Genomic DNA, 20,233 nt, shown 5'->3' with positions numbered 1-20,233 from the left:
ACTTGGGAGACTCAGGTGGGAGGATTGCTTGAACCCAAGAGGAGGCAGTTGCAGTGAGCCGAGATTGTACCACTGCACTCCAGCCTGGGAGACAGAGTAAGACTCCATCACACACACACAAAAAAATAAATAAAATAAAATTTGTGTGTGTATCTATTTTCTGAGCTCTCTATTCCATTCCACTGATCTAGATGTTTATTCCTTCACGAATACCACACCACCCAAATTACTATAGCTATACAGTAAGCCCTAACATCAAGTGGAGTGAGCCCACTCATTTTATTCTTCTTTTCCAAATTGTGTTAGCCATTCTAGTTCTTTTGCTTTCCATATTAATTCTACAGTAAGCTTGCTTGTGCCTACAAAAAAAACCTTGCTGAGATTTTGGTAGGAATTGCATTAAGCCTATAGATCCTCTTAGGAGGACTGACATCTTTATTGTATTGACTTTACTAACTCCTGGACATGGTATATCTCTACATTGATTTTGTCCTTTGATTTTTTGCATTGGCATTTTGCAATTATTATCATAAAAATTCTGTACAAACAAAAAATAATAATAAATAATACATTTTTTAAAAATTCTATACATGGGCTGGGCACAGTGGCTCATGCCAGTAATCTCAGCACTTTGGGAGGCCAAGGTGGGAGCATCGATTGAGTTCAAGACCATCCTGGGCAACATAGCAAGACCCCATCTCTACCAAAAAGTAAAAAAAAAAAAAGTTAGCCACACCTGTAATCCCAGCATTTTGAGAGGCCAAGGATGGACGGATCACTTGAGCCCAGGAGTTCGAGAACAACCTGGGCATCATGGCAAAACCCAGTTTCTACTAAAAACAAAACAAAACAAAAATTAGCGATGATCCACTCCTGTAGTTTCAGATACTTGGGAGGCTGAGGTAGGGAGAATTACTTAAGGCTGGGAAGTCAAGGCTGCAATGAGCCATGATTTTGCCATTCAGCAGCCTGGGTGACAGAGTGATACCCTGTCTCAAAAAAAAAAAAAAAAACTGTACACATTTTGTTAAAAATCTGTACATATTTTGTGCATTTTTTCTTTTGTTTTTCTGTGAGACAGTCTTGCTCTGTCACTCAGGCTGGAGTGTACCCAGGCAGGAGTAAGTGCAGTGGCACAATGTACAGATTATTATTATTATTATTTTGAGACAGGGTGTCCCTCTGTCACCCAGCCTGGATGCAGTGGCATGATCATGGCCCATTGCAGCCTCAACACCCCAGCCTCAAGTAAGTCTCCACACTTCATGGCTCACTGCAGCCCAGGCTAATTACCATTATTATTATTATTATTATTATTATTATTATTATTATTATTTAATTTTTTGTAGAGATGGGGTCTTGCTATGTTGCCCAGGCTCGTCTTGAACAGGGGATCCTTACACCTTGACCTCCCAAAGTGCTAGGATTACAGGCATGAGCCACTGTACCCTGCCACCTTCTGTATTTAAGTAAGTCTGGGGGAAATTTTTTGGTGAGACACTGGGTTGTCTTATGCTTGTTGGAGACAACTCTTTAAGGGCCTCAATTGCTAATGTCTCATCATGGGAATTTAAGAACTGCTAAGAAACATCTTCATCAGCCCCACGAAACCAGATGGCCACACAGACTCTAACATGGCAAATCTGAGGCTTCCTGGGGTCATAACTGGGATAGTGAGTTACAGATTCAGACCATGACTGGGTGTTGTGGCTTACAACTGTAATCCTAATGATTTGGGAGGCCTAGATGGGAGAATCCCTTGAGGCGGGGAGTTCAAGACCAGCCTGGGTAACATAGTGAGACCCTGTCTCTACAAAAAATTAAAAAATTAGCCAGCCATGGTGACATGTGCCTGTAGTCCCAGCTACTCTGGAGGCTGAGGTGGGAGAATTATTGCCTGAGCCCAGGAGGTCAAGGCTGCAGTGAGCCAAGGTCACACCACTGTGCCCCAGCCTGGGCAACATAGCCAGACCATGTCTCTTAAAAAAAAAAAAAAAAAAGGCCGGCGCAGTGCCTCAGCCTGTAATCCCAGCACTTTGGGAGGCTGAGGCGGGCGGATCAGGAGGTCAAGAGATTGAGACCCTCCTGACTAACCAACATGGTGAAACCCCGTCTCTACTAAAAATACAAAAATTAGCTGGGTGTAGTGGCACATGCCTGTAGTTCCAGCTACTCGGGTGGCTGAGGCAAGAGAATTGCTTGAACCTGGGAGGCAGAGGTTGCAGTGAGCCAAGATCGAGCCACTGCACTCCAGCCACTGCACTCCAGAGCGAAACTCAGTCTCAAAAAAAAAAAAAACTAGATTCAGGCCACTACATCTGCAAGACATCAGCATTTGAGAAATCGCTTGTCTCCATGGCCTGGCACTGGTTTTCATCCTGGTATTAGAAATGCATCAGTGCTCCCTGGGGAAGGGGCCAGTTTCACCAGCACCTGCCCCATGAGCTGTGAAAATGTGCATTCTAAGAAGGAGCCAGACAGGGCCCGAGACCCTCCGTGACCCATGGCCCGTGATAAAGGTGTTGGAACAATCGTGCCAATATGGCCACAGGAAGCATGATTGTTCTCTCCTTGCGCATTGCAGGGGCTGGAGGTTGAAGGTGTGACCTGTGCTGTTGTCCCAGGAGCCGGGGCTTTCTCAGAAGCCCTTTTCTTGTGATGCCCAAACAACCACGCAGAAAATGCTAATTGGTTACCCTCCAAAACAACAGTGAAAAATGATGCTTTAGGCTTCAATAGCCCCATCACAGCTTTCATCTCACCAAGAAACCCTAGGCCAAGCTTGTGCAACCCTCAGCCTGCAGGTCGTATGTGACCCAGAACGGCTTTGAATGTGGCCCAACACTTTCTTAAAATAAAACATTATGAGATGTTTTGTGGTTTTTTTTTGTTTTTTTTGTTTTGTTTTTTAGCTCATCAGCTATCATTAGTATTAGTGCATTTTACGTGTGGCCCAAAACAATTCTTCTTCCAATGTGGCCCAGAGAAACCCTGCCTGGGCTTTTCCGATTTAGCCCTCCCACATTTCCCAGAGCAGGACAGTCCCTCACACCAGTCTCAAAGGCCAGCAGGGCTTTTCCTCACAGACTGAAAGCTATGGTCACTAAAGTGTTCAGAAGTGATGATAACATAATCAAGACTCTTCCTTAGGGCTTGAGGGTTCCAGCAAACATCTCTGCCATCTGTCTGCCTGCTTTTTCTGTCACTTCTGAAATTCTGGTATCATGCCCGTGGTCAAAGCAACTAACTTCTGTGGCTACTAGAACTTTCTTCCTGCTTTTCTCACTCTGCACTTCCTGCTGCTGTCAATGAAACTCAGCTTCTTATTCCCAGGCACTCTCAGAGTGAGGATCCATAGGAGGCTTTGATTCTCAGGACAGATAACCCCATCTTTCCTCTGGTTCTGACCTATTTTTCTGTGTCCTTGTTACTGTGGTCATACCCAGAGAAGTAACATTTTGTCTTGAATTTGTAAAAATCTCTACCTTTCCCCACAAAGGGATTTCAGCACAGTGGCTATTTTAACAGATACCATGCAGCACGTACCACACGTTCCCTTCCTGAGTCCTTGAAAGTAATTTTCAGCTTTTGATCGGCTATATTGTTCTTCCCAGCTACATTTTGGGAAGTCCAGCAGAATAACTTGCTACTCTTTTAAAGGTCCTAATGATAAAACGAAACAAAACATCCCCTTTTTATCATCACCCACAAAGCCCTAATGCGTGCAACAAAGATTGTGAAACGTCCAGGGAACAGTTTGTGAGACAGAAAGGATGGCTTTGTTGATTAGCAAAAAGCTGGAACGTGGACACTGGCAACACAACAGGATTGGGACCCGCCTTCTTCAAGTGAAACAAAGTTGGAATTATTTTCAATTTTAATGTTAAACGGTTTTTTTGTTTGTTTCCAAATTATTTGAAAAGTTACTAATCCAAGCGTGGTATGAGTGGTATCATTTTGGTAACTAGATTAATGCACTACCAGATCCTAGAATTTCCCACTTTACCAAATAAAAGTATGTTCTGTGGAATTCTCCTAGACCAAGACAGGCTTTTCCCCTGAGCAATAGTGATAAAGTTGTCTAAATACATGAACTGGTGGCATTTTTCAAAAAGTAATAATGTTATAATCAAGAGGTGGTGTTGCTATGTTGCCCAGGCTGGTCTTGAACTCCCAGTCTCAAGTGATCTGCCAGGAGGCTGAGATGGGAGGATCATCTGAGTCTGGGAGGCCAAGGCTACAGAGAGCTGAGATTGCATTGCTGCACTCAAGCCTGGGTGACAGAGTGAAACCTTGTCTCAAAAACAAAACAAAACAAAACAAAACAAAACACTGCCACCATGCCTGCCTAATATTTTTATTTTTATTTTTGTAGAGATTGAAGGGGGTCTCACTATGCTGTCCAGGCTGATCTCAAACTCCTGAACTCAAGTGATTCTCCTGCCTTAGCCTCCTAAAATGCTGGGATTACAGGCGTCTTTAAGTGCTGGGGGTCGGCATATTTAAAATGAACACACTGCCTATAATCCCAGCACTTTGGGAGGCCAAGGCAGGTGGATCTCCTGAGGTCAGGAGTTCGAGACCAACCTGGCCAACATGGCGAAACCCTCTCTCTACTAAAAATACAAAAATTAGCCGGGCATGGTGGTGGGTGCCTATAGTCCCAGCTGTTTGGGAGGCTGAGGCAAGAGAATCGCTTGAGCCCAGGAGGCAGAGGTTGCATTGAGCCATATCGTGCCACTGCACTCCAACCTGGATGACAAAAGGGAGGCTCCGTCTGAAAAAACAAATAATTAATTAATAAAAATAAAATGAACACACTGTTTTAGTTTAACAGACTAAAGAGGTGCAACCGTATGGAATAAATGAGCCTGGACTTAGTCTTGTGTTTTAAAAAAGTTATAAAAGATGTATGGGAGCCGGGCGCAGTGGCTCATGCCTGTAATCCCAGCACTTTGGGAGACCGAGGGGGGCGGATCACAAGGTCAGGAGTTCAAGACCAGCCTGGTCAACATAGTGAAACCCTGTCTCTACTAAACATACAAAAATTTGCCAGGCATGGTGGCACATGTCTGTAGTCCCAGCTACTCGGGAGGCTGAGGCAGGAGAACCGCTTGAACCCGAGAGGTGAAGGTTGCAGTCAGCCGAGATCTCGCCACTGCACTCCAGCTTGGGCAACAAAGTGAGACTTCGTCTCAAAAAAAAAAAAAAAAAAAAAAAAAAGATGTATAGGACAACTGGGGAAAATTAAATATGGACTGGATATTAAGCAATATTAGGGAAGTATTTAGAATATTAGGGAATTATTTAGAATTATTTAGAATTGAAAGGTATTACTGTGTGCAGCTAACTTTCAAATGGTTTGGGGCTGGACGCGGTGTCTCACGCTTGTGATTCCAGCACTTTGGAAGGCCAAGGCAGGCAGATCACCTGAGGTCAGGACTCTGAGACCAGCCTGGCCATCATGGCATAACGCCATCCCTATTAAAAATACAAAAAATTAGCTGGGCATGGCGGCGGACGCCTGTAATCCCGGCTACTTGGGAGGCTAAGGCAGGAGAATCACTTGAACCTGGGAGGCAGAGGTTACAGTGAGCCGAAATCGCACTATTGCACTCCAGCCTGGGTGACAGAGCGAGACTCTATCTCAAAAAAAAAAAAAAACAAGAAAGAAAGAAAAATAAAAATAAAAAGGCCAAGTGCAATGGTTCACGCCTGTAATCCCAGCACTTTGGGAGGCTGAGTCAGGTGGATCACTGGAGGTCAGGAGTTCGAGACCAGCCTGACCAACATGGCGAATCTCCATCTCTACTAAAAACACAAAATTAGCCGGGTGTGGTGGCATGCACCCATAATCCCAGCTACTTGGGAGGCTAAGGCAGGAGAATCACTTGAACCTGGGAGGCAGAGGTTGCATGCAGTGAGCTGAGATTATGCCACTGCATTCCAGCCTGGGTGACAGAGCAAGACTCCATATTAAAAAAAAAAAAAAAAAAAGAAAGAAAAAGAAAAAGAAAAAAAGAAAAAATTATTAATGACTTGAAATCCTACCACTGTACAGTTAGCACTACACACACACACGTAATTCTACCAAAGTGGATCATAATATTTATGCTATTATAATGATTTTTCACAGCTATCTATTTTAATGTTATTTTGTTTTCTTTCCTCCTTCCACCTGGTAACCAGCTTCTGCATCCTGGTTTATGTTGTGAAAGGAAAATATCTTCAGCCCCTTCAAGCTGGTAACTGCTCAGGGCAAATCTGTCTCATTCTATTCGAAGTCATCCCTCTGCTCACTGAAATTAATGCATATTCTGATTGCCTCCTTTGGAAAGGCTTATCAGAAACCAAAAGAATGCAACCATTTCTCTCTCACCTGCCTGTGACCTGGAAGCCCCCTCCCAGCTTCAAGAGTTGTCCCTGTCTTTCTGCATGAAACTAGTGTACTTCTTACATATATTGACTGATGTCTCATGTCTCCCTAAAATGTATAAAACCAAGCTGTGTCCCAATCACCTTGGGCACATGTCATTAGGACTTCCTGAGGCTGTGTCATGGGCGCACTTCCTTAGCTTTGGCAAATAAACCTAAAATGATTGAGACTTGTCTTATCATTTTTCTCGATTGGCAATGTCCTTCCATGCCTTTTTCTGATAAGTTGCTGACATGTATTGAACATTTACTACAAAGCAAGGACCAGGACTTTACATACACACTATATTTTACAAAAACCCCATACTGTTATTATCTCCATGGTGTTGACAAACAGAGAAGCTAAGGAAATTTCTCAAGGGCACACAACCAACACATATGTGAACTGTTTTTGGTTGGGTTGTATTTTATATATATATATATATATATATATATATATATATATTTTTAATGTACTTTAACTTCTAGGGTACATGTACACAATGTGCAGGTTTGTTACATATGTATACATGTGCCATGTTGGTGTGCTGCACCCATTAACTTGTCATTTACATTAGGTATATCTCCTAATGCTCTCCCTCTCCCATCCCCCGGTTGGGTTGTATTTATTTATTTATTTATTTTGAGATGGAGTTTCCTTCTTGTTGCCCAGACTGGAGTGCAATGGCGCGATCTCAGCTCACCGCAACCTCCACCTCCCGGGTTCAAGTGATTCTCCTGCCTCAGCCTCCTGAGTAGCTGGGATTACAGGCATGTGCCACCATGCCTGGCTAATTTTGTATTTTTAGTAGAGACAGGGTTTCTCCATGTTGGTCAGGCTGGGTCTCGAACTCCCAACCTCAGGTGATCTGCCTGCCTCAGCCTCCCAAAGTGCTGGGATTACAAGCGTGAGCCACCGCGCCCGGCTTTTTTTTTTTTTTTTTTTTTTTTTTTTTTTTTGGACAAAGATGAGATCTCATTGTAAAACCCTAGTTGCTTTCTCACTCACATCTTGAAATTTTCTTTTCTTCAACTCATCTGGTATACAGGAAGTCCTCACTTAACATTCTCCATAGGTTCTTGGAAACTTTGAATTTCAGAGAAACAACATATAACAAAAACCAATCTTTCCATAGGCTAATTGACATAACAAGGGTTAAGCTCCTATGGCATATTTCTGATCACCAAAATATCACCAAACTTCTAAATAAAGACCCCCAAACACTTCTCATATCAAATACTGAAATAAATGTGAGCTGGCCAGGTGTGGTGGCTCACGCCTGTAATCCCAACACTTTGGGAGGCTGAGGCGGGTGGATCACCTGAGGTCTCACTCTGTTGCCCAGGCTGGAGAGCAGTGGGGTGATCTCGGCTCACTGCAACCTCCGCCTCTCCTGCCTCCCGGGTTCAAGCGATTCTCCCGCCTCAGCCTCCTGAGTAGCTGGGACTACAGGTGCCCACCACCACACCCGGCTAGTTTTTGTACTTTTTGTAGAAAAGGGATTCCACCATGTTGCCCAGGCTGGTCTTGAACTCCTGGCCTCAACTGATCCCCCTGCCTCAGCTTCCCAAAGTGCTGGGATTACAGGCATGAGCCACCACGTTTCGAATGAGTCAATACCCTAGAGGTAACTTCTTGCTGCTGATGACAACCTCCAAGTCCTCCCCCACCGTGCCCCCAGTGGGCATTAACAGTCTCATGGATGACAAATATCAGTGGGCAGGTCTCAGGGACTGTACGATCATGATCATCACCTCCCAAGACGCCAGTTCCTGCCTCAAGATGTCTCTGAAGGTCCTGGGTGGTGGTGGTGAATGTTGGCCATTCAGGCAGAGGCTTACCCATTCTTTCCTGGATGGGCATGAGAGGTGTGTGTTCCTGTATAAGAGCTACAGCTACTGTTTCCCGGCCGGCCTGTGAACCGCAGCCAGAACAGGTTGGCACTTGTGCGTGGGCCTGAAGGGTTAATGATGTCAGGGACCTGCTTGTCCCCAGGAGCAGGGAGGGATGCCTGGGAGGCAGTGTGGGAGGGAGGAGGAGGGAAGGACAGTGTCCTAAGGTGAAGGGGACAGCCTGAGGAGAGTGTGTAGGGATGTTTGTGTCCTGACCCTCATTGTCCCTTGTATTGTTTTCCCTTTCTCCTCAGCGGCCCCCAGCTGCTCTCCCAGCAGGTACCATGTCTCTCCTCTCAGTTTGCATGATCCGCCCAAGCCGACTGCAGAAGCCGACCACTGCTCGCGGCTCACTACGCGAGGACAGAGGAAGCCTCGAGACAAAGCTACTGAGCGGTGTGCGAGGGGCCAACGCAAGGAGCTCAGAATAAACTCTTGTGCGTCTCACCACCTGCTCTCCACCTCTAAATGGGACCAGGTGGCCACACGGAGGCTCAGACAGGGTCAAGAGTGCCATGCTGGCGGGGGTGGGGTGACGATGGGAGTGCTGAGAGTGGACTCAAATGAGGCATTCCCCTTGGTGGGTGGGCGTCTAATCGGTTGAGGGGCGCAAGCTTGGGCTTGGTGATCAGTCTAGGGACTGACATTAACACTACGCTTAGGCCTGGGATTTAGGGTCTTGTCCTGCAATCAAACAGCTTAAGTTCCTAAACTGGAATTTAGCTACAAGGAAACTCCTAGCAACAAGCCAGCCCCTTAGTTACAGTGGGGGCACTAGCAATGCAGGCCTCAGATCTCCCATGGGAACATTTGGCAGGTCACGCTGAGGCCTGGAGGTCACGATCAGAGACAGAATGCTCAGCAGAGTACATATGTGCTGGAGACTGGATCGTACCCAGGCCTGGCCAGGTGTGGTGAGGAGAATGGGATTCAGGCCTAGTGCATCCGGGGGAGGGGGAATCACGCAAGCCCAGGGGTGGGCGTGGCTAACAAGGAGCTGACTCTCGGGGGAGGGAGAGGCTAAACGTCATCCAACATGGCGGCGCCCGAGGAAGGCTACAGTGTGGGCGCCGCCATTTTGTTTGAGGTTAAGGCAAAGGATGCTGAAGGACGAGTAGCACCGCTGTCGGGAGGGCTATGTTCGTTGAAATCGCCCCCTACTCCCCTGGTCTACAACCGCAAATCCCCAGTGAGCTTGCCCGAAGGAGATTGTCAGCTTTCTAGATGGAGCCTATGGGAATTGTGCCAAGTTTAAGAACATGGTTAACTTAATAAAATCTCAATGGCAGACCATACTTTTAAAGAGAAGAAGGCTGGGCGCAGTGGCTCACGCCTGTAATCCCAGCACTTTGGGAGTCCGAGGCGGGTGGGTCACCTGAGGTGGGGAGTTCGAGACGAGCCTGACCAACATGGAGAAATCCCATCTCTACAAAAAACACAAAATTAGCCGGGTGTGGTGGCGCATGCCTGTAATCCCAGCTACTCGGGAGGCTAAGGCAGGAGAATCGCTTGAACCAGGGAGGCGGAGGTTGCAGTGAGCTGAGATTGCGCCATTGCACTCCAGCCTGGGCAACAAGAGCGAAACTCCGTCTCAAATAAATAAATAAATAAAATAAAGAAAAGAGCTTTTATATCAACAGGGAAACCAAGAAAGTATAAATTTAGAGATATACATATATAATTATATAAAAAGTAATCATTTTACATTTTTATATAATGTAAAGTGAACAATTACATTAAGAATCCCCTTGAGGCCGGGTGCCGTGGCTCATGCCTGTAATCCCAGCACTTTGGGAGGCTGAGGCGGGCGGATTACTTGAGTTCAGGAGTTCGAGACCAGCCTGGGCAACATGGCAAAACCCCGTCTCTTCTAAAAATACACAAATTAGCTGGGCGTGGTGGTGCATGCCTGTAATCCCACCTACTCAGGAGGCTGAAGTGGGAGGATCGCTTGAGCCCAAAAGGTGGAGGCTGCAGTGAGCTGAAATCATGCCACTGCACTCCAGACAGGTCAGGCCAAAAGCAAGTTAAGGAGGGCACTATATCTATCAATAAGTCAATCAATAGATCCATCGGTATAGATATACCAATGAAAAGCTATCATTTTCAAATTCTGGATGATGGCTTTCTGACTTGGGGCAAGAAGGTCAAGGCAGGCCTCCATGCAGAGGTGCTATTGGAGCAAAGACAGGAGGGAGCAGCAAGCCACCGAGGCACCTGGGAAAGAGCAAACACAAAGGCTTGAAGTGAGAAGTTACTGGGTGTAATAGGGGCATGGGGCTTGAGGGAAGTTGGAGGGGGGCGACCAGAAAGAGAGCAGAAAGACAGGATGTCGGAGATGACAGGGAATCAGATCTCAGGGTGAAGGGGCATGCAGGCTCACAACATACCTTCTCTTCAGCATCGTAAGCAGAGGCCCGTGTGCAGCTTGGGTCTCCTTGTAAAGCTTGAAGCTGGGTGGGGTTAAGGTGGTCGATCCTCTCTAGCAGTGTTCTGGGTGAACCTGGCTTGAGATGTGTAACTTTTGGTTAAATATTAGATTCAGAGTTAGAATAAGGACTGTATACAAAACGTTGAGTCTTAAAATTATTTGTTTTTTTTTTTTTTGGAAACAGGGTCTCATTCTATGGCCCAGGCTGGAGTGCAGTGGTGCAATCACAGCTTACTGCAGCCTCCAACTCCCCAGGCTCAGGTGATCCTCCCACCTCAGCCTCCCGAATAGCTGGGACTATAGGCACACACCACCACACCCAGCTAATTTTTGTATTTTTTAGAGAGACAGGGTCTTGCTATGTTGCCCAGGCTGGTCTTGAAGTCCTGGCTCAAGCAATCCTCTTGCCTCAGCCTCCTAAAGTGCTAGAATTATAGGCATCAGTCACTGTGCCCAGCCACAGCTTTATTTGTATTTATTTCTTTATTTTATTTTTATTTTATTTTATTTTATTTTTTGAGTCTTGCTCCATCGCCCAGGCTGGAGTGCAGTGGCGTGATCTCAGCTCACTGCAAGCTCTGCCTCCCGGATTCATGCCATTCTCCTGCCTCAGCCTCCTGAGTAGCTGGGACTACAGGCACCTGCCACCACGCCCAGCTAATTTTTTGTATTTTTAGTAGAGACGGGGTTTCACCGTATTGGCCAGGATGGTCTCGATCTCCTGACCTCGTGATCCGCCCGCCTTGGCCTCCCAAAGTACTGGGATTACAGGCGTGAGCCACTGCACCCGGCCTATTTCTTTATTTTTTTAAGACGGAGTCTTGCTCTTGTCGCCCAGGCTGGAGTCCAATGGCATGATCTCAGCTCACTGCAACCTCCACCGCCCGGGTTCAAGCGATTCTCCTGCCTCAGTCTCCCGAGTAGCTGGGATTACAGATGCGCACCACCATGCCCAGCTAAATTTTGTATTTTTAGTAGAGACAGGGTTTCACCATGTTGGCCAAGCTGGTCTCAAACTCCTGACCTAATGTGATCCACCCACCTCGGCCTCCCAAAGTGCTGGGATTACAGGCGTGAGCCACCGCACCTGGCCTGTTTGCTTGTTTTTGCTAAGCACTGGGTCCATGATGATTCCCAATTTACAGTTGAGGAAAATTAGGCCTGTAGTGCTGAAATACTCTGCATGAGGTCACATAGCTAGCAAGATGTAAAGCAGGGATTTGAACCCAGGTCTGACTCTACTAATCTATAAAGATGATAAAGAAATTCTAGGCAGAGTGAGTGGAGGGTGGGATTAGATTTGCTACCTTCTGTGATCTGTACACAGGGCAGGGGAAGAGAAGGTGGGCATGAGAGGCTTCAGAGCTGATGGAATTCAAGCTTTTCATTGAAGCCAATGGGAGGTTTGTTTCTTTTCTTTTCTTTTTAAAATTATTATTATTATTATTATTATTTTGAGACAGAGTCTCGCTCTGTTGCCCAGGCTGGAGTGCAGTGGCATGATCTTGGCTCACTACAACCTCTGCCTCCCAGGTTCAAGCAATTCTCCTGCCTCAGCCTCCGGAGTAGTTGGGATTACAGGCGCCTGCCACCACACCCGGCTAATTTTTTTTATTTTTAGTAGAGACAGGGTTTCAACATGTTGGCCAGGCTGGTCTCAAACTCCTGATTTCGTGATCCACCCACGTCGGCCTCCCAAAGTGCTGGGATTACAGGCGTGAGCCACCACATCCGACATCCGACCTTGTTTCTTTTCTTTTCTTTCTTTCTTCTTCTTTTTTTTTTTTTTTTTTTTTGAGACAGAGTCTTGCTGTGTCGCCCAGGCTGGAATGCAGTGGCACAATCTCGGCTTACTATATCCCCCTCCTCCTCCTGGGTTCAAGTGATTCTCCTCCCTCAGCCTCCTGAGTAGCTGGGATTACAGGCACGCACCACCACACCTGGCTAATTTTTGTGTTTTTTGTAGAGATGGGGTTTTGCCATGTTGGCTAGGCTGGTGTCCAACTCCTAAGCACAAGTGAGCCGCCCGTCTCAGCCTCCCTGTGTTGGGATTACAGGTGTGAGCCATGGTGCCTGGCCCAATGGGAAGTTTTAACTAGTGGGAATAACATAATCACGGTGTATTTCCAGCAGTCGCGTTGCAGTGTGAAGTGTACATTTAAGAAGGGGGAGAGAAGTGGGGATCAGATAGATATTTAGGATACTACTGCAGAAGTCCAGGTGCAAAATGTAATCAAGGCCTGAAGTAAAAATAGGGAACACTCTTAGCCAGGTTCCCTGTACTATGAGGCCCGCTGCATGCGCACCTCCTGGCCCATACACCCTGACCCCAGGGAAACCTTTTCTTGACAACTGGAACCAAGATCTTGGTGTTCTTTTGCAAAGTCAGAGCTTGTTAAATTGGAGTATAGGTTGGGCGTGGTGGCTCACACCTGTAATCCCAGCACTCTGGCAGGCTGAGTGGGGGGTGGATAACTTGAGCCCAGGAGTTCAAGACCAGCCTGGGCAACGTGGTGAAATGCTGTCTCTACTAAAAATACAAAAATTAGCTGGGCATGGTAGTGCCCGGTTGTAATCCCAGCACTTTGGGGGGCTGAAGCAGGAGGATTGCTTGAAGCCAGGAGTTCAAGACCAGCCTAGGCAACATAGTGAGACCCCTGTCTCTACAAAAATAAAAATCAATAAATTAATTTTTTTAAAAAGCAGTGAGCAGCTGGGCACGGTGGCTCATGCCTGTAATCCCAGCACTTTGGGAGGCCAAGGCAGCAGATCACCTGAGGTTGGGGGTTCGAGACCAGCCTGGCCAGCATGGTGAAATCCCATCTCTACTAAAAATACAAAAATTAGCTGGGCGTGGTGGCAGGCGCCTGTAATCCCAGCTACTTGGGAAGCTGAGGCAAGAGAGTTGCTTGAACCCGGGAGGTGGAGGTTGTGGTAAGCCAAGATGGTGCCATTGCACTCCAGTCTGGGCAATAGGGGGAGACCCCATTGAAAAAAAAAAAAAAGCAGTAAGCATGAGATGTGTCAGGGGGTTGAGAGACATTTGAAGAAAGTAAATCCTAGGGTTGGAGGACTGATAAGATGTAGGAACTGAAGATTACAGGGACAGTATCAAATCTGTTTTGAACAAGATGAGTTTGATGTATCTTTGTGACATCCAGATAGAGCTGTCCATCAAATAGTTATATAAAAGGGCTAAGGGCAGCATTTCCCAAAATGGTTGCCACAAAAGATAGTCCCCCAGGGCACCAGCAAATGTTAAAGGGAAAGCGGTGGGAGGGCTCTCCAGGGTCAAAAAAGTTAGGGAAAATTTTGGTTAAACAGGTGCAGAGCCTTTAAGATGCTAATATCTACTGGGAAATTCCAAGAGTAAGGGCATTCATTACTTATTTTTAGAGATTGTGTGTGTAGTGGGGGCGGGGTGTCTCACTTTGTTGCGCAGGCTGGTCTTGAACTGCTAGCCTCAAGCGATCCTCCCACCTCGACTTCCCAAAGTGTTGGGATTACAGGCATGAGCCACCATATCTGCCCCCTGAAAACTGTTTTGACCATGAACCGGTTTCTCTTTCCATAGAGTATCTAGGGGGACTCACGTTCCAAAGAACCGTTTCTGCAATGCTTGTTTTGAGCCTAGGAGAGAAAAGTGCATAACAGCATGGGGCAGCCCCTGCGTTACCATGGGAACAGAAGGCATGGCAGCAAGGAGATCAATAAACAGCCCCTGGAGTGAAAAGAAAGGAGGGCTGCAGACAAAGGCAGAAGCCGAGAGAAAGCCTAAGGAAGGCTGCCTAGATGGCTGGCCACCGCGCTTGGACGGGAGTCAGGAAACAAGAGCGTCTGGGAAGCTTATCTGTATGAAATCATTTTTTCCCAGGCCATTTTCCTCTTCATCGTTTATTCTTTCTGTTGATTTGTAAAACCTTTCACTGAAGCTTTTATCAGAAAAATGTACAAAGCAGCAGGACAGTAGCCATGGAAGCCAAAATCCACTAAGGAGTGGAGTGTGTAACCACTCACCTGCCAGGAAAAAAATATATACACAACCCATGGGTCCAACTGACCGAATTATTCCAAAGTGAATACACATTCCCCACAGTGACAATGCTTAGGTCAAGGAACAGAACATCACCAGCACCCCCGGAACCTCCCTTTGTGTCCTTCCCAAGCATTTGCTCCTACCCTCACTTGTTGCACCGTAGATTCATTTTGTCTGTTCTTTTTTTTTTTTTTTTTTGAAACGGGGTCTCCCAGGCTAGAGTACAGTGCAGTGGCGTGAGCTGAGATCACTGCAACCTCTGCCTCCCAGGTTCAAGCGATTCTCCCGCCTCAACCTCCTGAGTATCTGGGATTACAGGTCCATGCCACCACTCCCCATTAATTTTTTTTGTATTTTTAGTAGAGACGAGGTTTCACCATGTTGGCCAGGCTGGTCTCGAACTCCTGGCCTCAAGAGATCTGCCCGCCTTGGCCTCCCAAATTGCTGGGATTACAGGCATGAGCCACCAAGCCCAGCACTCCCTGTGCTTTTTAATGTATCCGTATAAGAAAATTTAGTTTTATGACAATATTGCCAGCAATACAAAGTATATTTTTAATCCAGACTCCTGAGGACAAGAATCTGAATTTATCCTGCATAGAAGATTAGAGAAGAAATAAACAAGTAACCATGTGTTAAAAGACATTTAGACATTTGGATAGTAACGTTGATTTAAATATAATTCTCTGGCAATGGAAAGTTGTTTTGTTTACAGCCCTTGAGGGTTTGCAAAAAGTCACTATGGTCGGGTGCAGTGGCTCACGCCTATAATCCCAGCACTTTGGGAGGCCGAGGCGGGAGGATCACCTGAGGTCAGGAGTTCAAAACCAGCCTGACCAATATGGCGAAAGCCTGTCTCTACTAAAAATACAAAATTTAGCTGGGCATGGTGGTGCGCGTCTGTAATCCCAGCTACTCGGGAGGCTGAGGCAGAAGAATCGTTTGAACCCGGGAGGTGGAGGCTGCAGTGAGTTGAGATCGTGCCACTGCACTCCAGCCTGGGCAACAGGGCGAGACTCTGTCTCAAAATAAATAAATAAGTAAATAAATAAATAAATAAATACTGATAAGATTCTAAGCTATAAGGCCTGTCTCATTGTATAAATTGTATGTGGAGGGCTCTAGCCAGGTGCCCTGGCAGCCTGGCATTTCTCCGCATAGGCTACAGAGTCAAAGCTTGGGAGCAGTCACCTGAATCCTGGTGGCATGCCCTGGCATCTTCGCCTGGAACACAGCAGTCCTGTGAAGAGCTATCACAAAGCTGTTTCTCATCTGCCTCCCTGGTTCTTTTTTTTGAGACAGGGTCTTGTTCTGTCACCTAGGCTGGAGTGCATGATCACGGCTCACTGCAGCCTTGACTTCCTGGGCTAAAGCAATCCTCCCACCTTGGCCTCCTGAGTAGCTGGGACTATCGGTGCATGCCACTACGCCTAGTTAATTTTTGTATTTTTTTGTAGACACAGGGTTTCACCATGTTACCCAAACCGATCTCAAATTCCTGGGCTCAGCTGGGTGCAGTGGCTCACGCCTGTAATCCCAGCACTTTGGGAGGCCGAGGTGGGTGGATCACCAGAGGTCAGAAGTTTGAGACCAGCCTGGCCAACATGGTGAAACCTTGTCTCTACTAAAAACACAAAAATTAGCCAGGTGTGGTGGTGGGTGCCTGTAATCCCAGCTACTCGGGGGGTTGAGGCAGGAGGACTGCTTGAAACTGGGAGGTGGAGGTTGCAGTGAGCCAAGATCACACCACTGCACTCCAGCCTGGGTGACAGAGAAAGATTCCGTCTCAGAAAAAAAAAAAAAAAAACTCCTGGGCTCAAGCGATCTACCTGCCTCAGCCTCCCAAAGTGTTGGGATTACAGGTGTGAGCCACTGCACCCAGCCTGTCTCTCTGGTTCTGATGACACAGGGGACTTTCTGCCTCAGCAGGCCTGCCCCTTAGGGTACAGTGGAAGATTTCACTGTAATTCTCAATTCCATTTTTTTTTTTTTTGAAACAGAGTCTTGCTCTGTCACCCAGGCTGGAGTGCAGCGGCACAATCTCAGTTCACTGCAACCTCTGCCTCCCGGGTTCAAGCAATTCTAGTGTCTCAGCCTCCCAAGCAGCTGGGACTACAGGCATGAGCCACCACACCCGGCTAATTTTTTGCATTTTTAGTAGAGACGGGGTTTCACCATGTTGGCCAGGCTGGTCTTGAACTCCTGGCCTCAAGTAATCCACCCACCTCAGCCCCCCAAAGTGCTGGGATTACAGGCGTGAGCCACCGCACCCAGCTGACTTCATTGTAATTTTTAAGACGGCTTGGCTGTAGTTTAGAGGAGGGTCATCCACAACAAAGTGAGCCACCATGCATGTTTTGTGTCATCTAGTTGAGTGTCATCCTCTGGGATGACACAATGACCTTGCTTTTACTGTGTGAACATAATAAATCCTTATGCGGCTGGGCAAGGTGGCTCACACTTGTAATCCTTAACACTTTGGGAGGCTGAGGCAGGAGGAATGTTTAAGTCCAGAAATTCAAGACCAGCTGAAGAAGCATAGCAAGACCCCATCTCTACAAAAAATAAAAATAGAATTGTCAGGCGTGGTGGCACATACCTGTAGTCCCAGCTACTCGGGAGGCTGAGGTGGGAGGGTCACTTGAGCCTGGGAGGTCGAGGCTGCAGTGAGCCGTGATTGTGCTACTGAACTCATGCCTGGGTGACAGAGTGAGACTGTGTCTGAAAAAAAATAAATAAAAATAAAAATGAGTTTGTTGTCTCCTTACCAGCTGAATCTAAAGAAATGTGACAAGCCAACTTTACTGTGCTGCTGCTTAACAACTGCTTGGCCGCTTGACAAATTGGCATCCAACGTGAAGCCAAGTAAGGTCACAATGTCTTTTTGGAGAGAAGACAGAGGAGCTCTGCAAGCCAAGTTAAGGGCAATGGGGAGACACCCCCCAACCCTGCCCCCCCCCCCCACCGCCCAGGTCTGATCACACATGCTTTCTTTCTCTTTTTAGGGCACTGCTACATGTAAAAAGCACTCATAGGGAAAACTCTACTACCATTTGTCACCAGTGGGTGAGTTCTCAGTGCAAGTGCCTCTACCCTCTGATGTCTGGAGCTTTCACTACATAGCTGATGTTCCGTTGGGTGGCAATTCAAAAGCATTAGTCTCGGCTGGGTGTAGCGGCTCACACCTGTAATCCTAGCACTTTGGGAGGATGAGGCGGGTGGATCACTTGAGGTCAGGAGTTCAAGAACAACCTGGTCAACATGACGAAACCCCGTTTCTACTAAATGTACCAAAAAATTAGCCAGGCATGATGATGGGTGCCTGTAATCACAGCTACTCGGGAGGCTGAGACAGGAGAATCACTCGAACCCGAGAGGTGGAGGGTGCAGTGAGCTGAGATCACGCCACTGCACTCCAACCTTGGTGACAGAGTGAGACTCCATCTCAAAAAAAAAAAAAAGCCTTAGTCTCACAGCCCGAACCAAGGTGTTGTCGCGCCTCCACCAGCAGGGGTAGCTGGTCAACCCCAACAAAATCCAGAGTCCTGCTTGCCAAGTAAAGTTTCTTATAGCGAATCTGCAGGGGTGGATTCAAAATACTCAGCTCTCTGGAAGCCAAAATGGGGAAAAGATGCTGTTTGTTACAAAGTAGAGAACTCTACATTTCTGATTCGGATGCCAGACCATTAGTCCATTAGTCTTTTGGTTACAGAGTCCCCATTACACTAGGCATTGGCCCCCACCTGCTCCTAATAGATTGACCACATCGAACCTGTGACACCCTCTCAGGTTCTCAGGGGTGCCTCACCATGGTTGATACTGTTACAGTAGGTAGTCAGGCAGACACGAGCAGGGCAGGAGCGCCCCCACCCCCACCCCCAGGAATGTCAGGCGACCATCAGGTGACAGTCAGGCGGTTGTTAAACTGTTTTTCTAAAATGGTAATTGGTTGAGGTTGGCACCAGGGAAAGGTGGTCTCCCAATAAATAGAAAACACCTGAAGCTGGTGAACAGCAGCTTTCTGATAAGATTCCAGGAGTTGGGCGAATGGGCTCAATCATGCGCACTAAGAGGCGGAGTTTAACTGGTATCTGACCTTTCGGCTGGTAAGGGAAGAATGCCTCAAGTGAGCTTGCGTACAACTCCAGTAAACACAGTGTGCATGTGGCCCCTTCTAGGTGCTGGCAGGCCACTGTGCATGGGGACAGCCCACCCCAAGGGAAGAATCATGGGAGAAGGGACGCAAGACCCTGGAAGCATGCTGAAGTATAAAACCCCAAGTCAAAGGTCAAACCATGCACTTGACTCTTTAGTCACCCACTTTGCCCTCTTCCAAGTGCACTTTACTTCCTTTTGTTCCTGCTCTAGAGCTTTTTAATAAACTTTTGCTCCTGCTCTAAAACTTGCCTCAGTCTCTCCTTCTGCTTTATGCCCCTCAGTTGAATTCTTTCTTCTTATGAGGCAAGGATTGAGGTTGCCGCAGACCCACACGGATTCGCCACTGTGAAGGATACTTGTTCAAACTGTGTTATGTTTTACTTGATGGACACACACTCAAGTGGTTTGAACTGATGCTGCTAAAAGTACCGTAATAGTCTGGGCGTAGTGGCTCAAGCCTGTAATCCCAGCACTTTGGGAGGCTGAGGCAGGCAGATCACCTGAGGTCAGGAGTTCAAGACCAGCCTGGCCAACATGGTGAAACCCCGTCTCTACTAAAAATACAAAAAAATTTAGCCAGGCATGGTGGTGCACACCTGTAATCCCAGCTACTTGGGAGGCTGAGGCAGGAGAATCACTTGAACCCGGGAGGCGGAGGTAGCCATGAGCCAAGATTGCTCCACTGCATTCTAGCCTGGGCAATAGAGGAAGACTCAGTCTCCAAAAAAAATAAATAAATAATAAAAGTACTGTAATAATAGATGTGTAATACTGCTCCTGGTTTTCTTGTTTTTTTTTGAGACAGGGTCTCACTCTGTTGCCCAGGAGAGTGCAGTGCACAATCATGGCTCACTGCAGCCTCGACTTCCCAGGCTCAAGCGATCCTCCTGCCCAGCCTCCTGAGTAGCTGGGACTACAGGTGTGCACCATCATGCCCAGTTAATTTTTGTATTTGCTGTACAAACATAGTCTCACTATGTTGCCCAGGCTGGTGTCAAACTCTTGGATTCAAGCAATTCTCCCACCCCAGCTTCCCAAAGTGTTGGCATTACAGGCATGAGCCACTATGCCCTGCCTTCTCCTGATTATATGAGATGTTCTCAATGGAGGAATGCTACAATTAAAACAGCAGCTGTGGGATAGAACACAAGCAGGAGTCCACCTGGCTTCCTCCACCCAGCCATGAGGTATCAGTAAAATAACACAAGATGGAGGAGGGGTGTGGAGAAGATCACTGTATTAAACAAAAACCTAATAGAGATGGCAGTGCTCTGAATAAAAAAATCCAACGGGCTATACAG

At 47.0% G+C, this 20,233-nt stretch overlaps 6 annotated features.

Moving 5' to 3' along the window:
- Positions 8,392-8,961: an enhancer, noted in NCBI's record as "NANOG-H3K27ac-H3K4me1 hESC enhancer chrX:47181311-47181880 (GRCh37/hg19 assembly coordinates)". NCBI's record gives its function as "activates a minimal SCP1, AML or CMV promoter by ChIP-STARR-seq in primed H9 embryonic stem cells {active_cell/tissue: H9 hESC(primed)}" and the evidence as "EXISTENCE:reporter gene assay evidence [ECO:0000049][PMID:30033119]".
- Positions 9,279-9,418: an enhancer, noted in NCBI's record as "active region_29589". NCBI's record gives its function as "activates an Ori minimal core promoter by ATAC-STARR-seq in GM12878 lymphoblastoid cells {active_cell/tissue: GM12878}" and the evidence as "EXISTENCE:reporter gene assay evidence [ECO:0000049][PMID:35858748]".
- Positions 12,908-13,545: an enhancer, noted in NCBI's record as "H3K27ac hESC enhancer chrX:47176727-47177364 (GRCh37/hg19 assembly coordinates)". NCBI's record gives its function as "activates a minimal SCP1, AML or CMV promoter by ChIP-STARR-seq in primed H9 embryonic stem cells {active_cell/tissue: H9 hESC(primed)}" and the evidence as "EXISTENCE:reporter gene assay evidence [ECO:0000049][PMID:30033119]".
- Positions 18,212-18,271: a silencer, noted in NCBI's record as "silent region_20803". NCBI's record gives its function as "represses an Ori minimal core promoter by ATAC-STARR-seq in GM12878 lymphoblastoid cells {active_cell/tissue: GM12878}" and the evidence as "EXISTENCE:reporter gene assay evidence [ECO:0000049][PMID:35858748]".
- Positions 18,337-18,837: an enhancer, noted in NCBI's record as "H3K27ac hESC enhancer chrX:47171435-47171935 (GRCh37/hg19 assembly coordinates)". NCBI's record gives its function as "activates a minimal SCP1, AML or CMV promoter by ChIP-STARR-seq in naive H9 embryonic stem cells {active_cell/tissue: H9 hESC(naive)}" and the evidence as "EXISTENCE:reporter gene assay evidence [ECO:0000049][PMID:30033119]".
- Positions 18,489-18,783: an enhancer, noted in NCBI's record as "tiled region #8750; HepG2 Activating non-DNase unmatched - State 3:PromF". NCBI's record gives its function as "activates a minimal TATA promoter and a strong SV40 promoter by Sharpr-MPRA in HepG2 cells {active_cell/tissue: HepG2}" and the evidence as "EXISTENCE:reporter gene assay evidence [ECO:0000049][PMID:27701403]".

The sequence above is a fragment of the Homo sapiens genome, chromosome X (genome assembly GCF_000001405.40).
Source record: "Homo sapiens chromosome X, GRCh38.p14 Primary Assembly".
NCBI lineage: Eukaryota > Metazoa > Chordata > Mammalia > Primates > Hominidae > Homo > Homo sapiens.
This window is presented reverse-complemented; position numbering and strand designations above follow the sequence as displayed.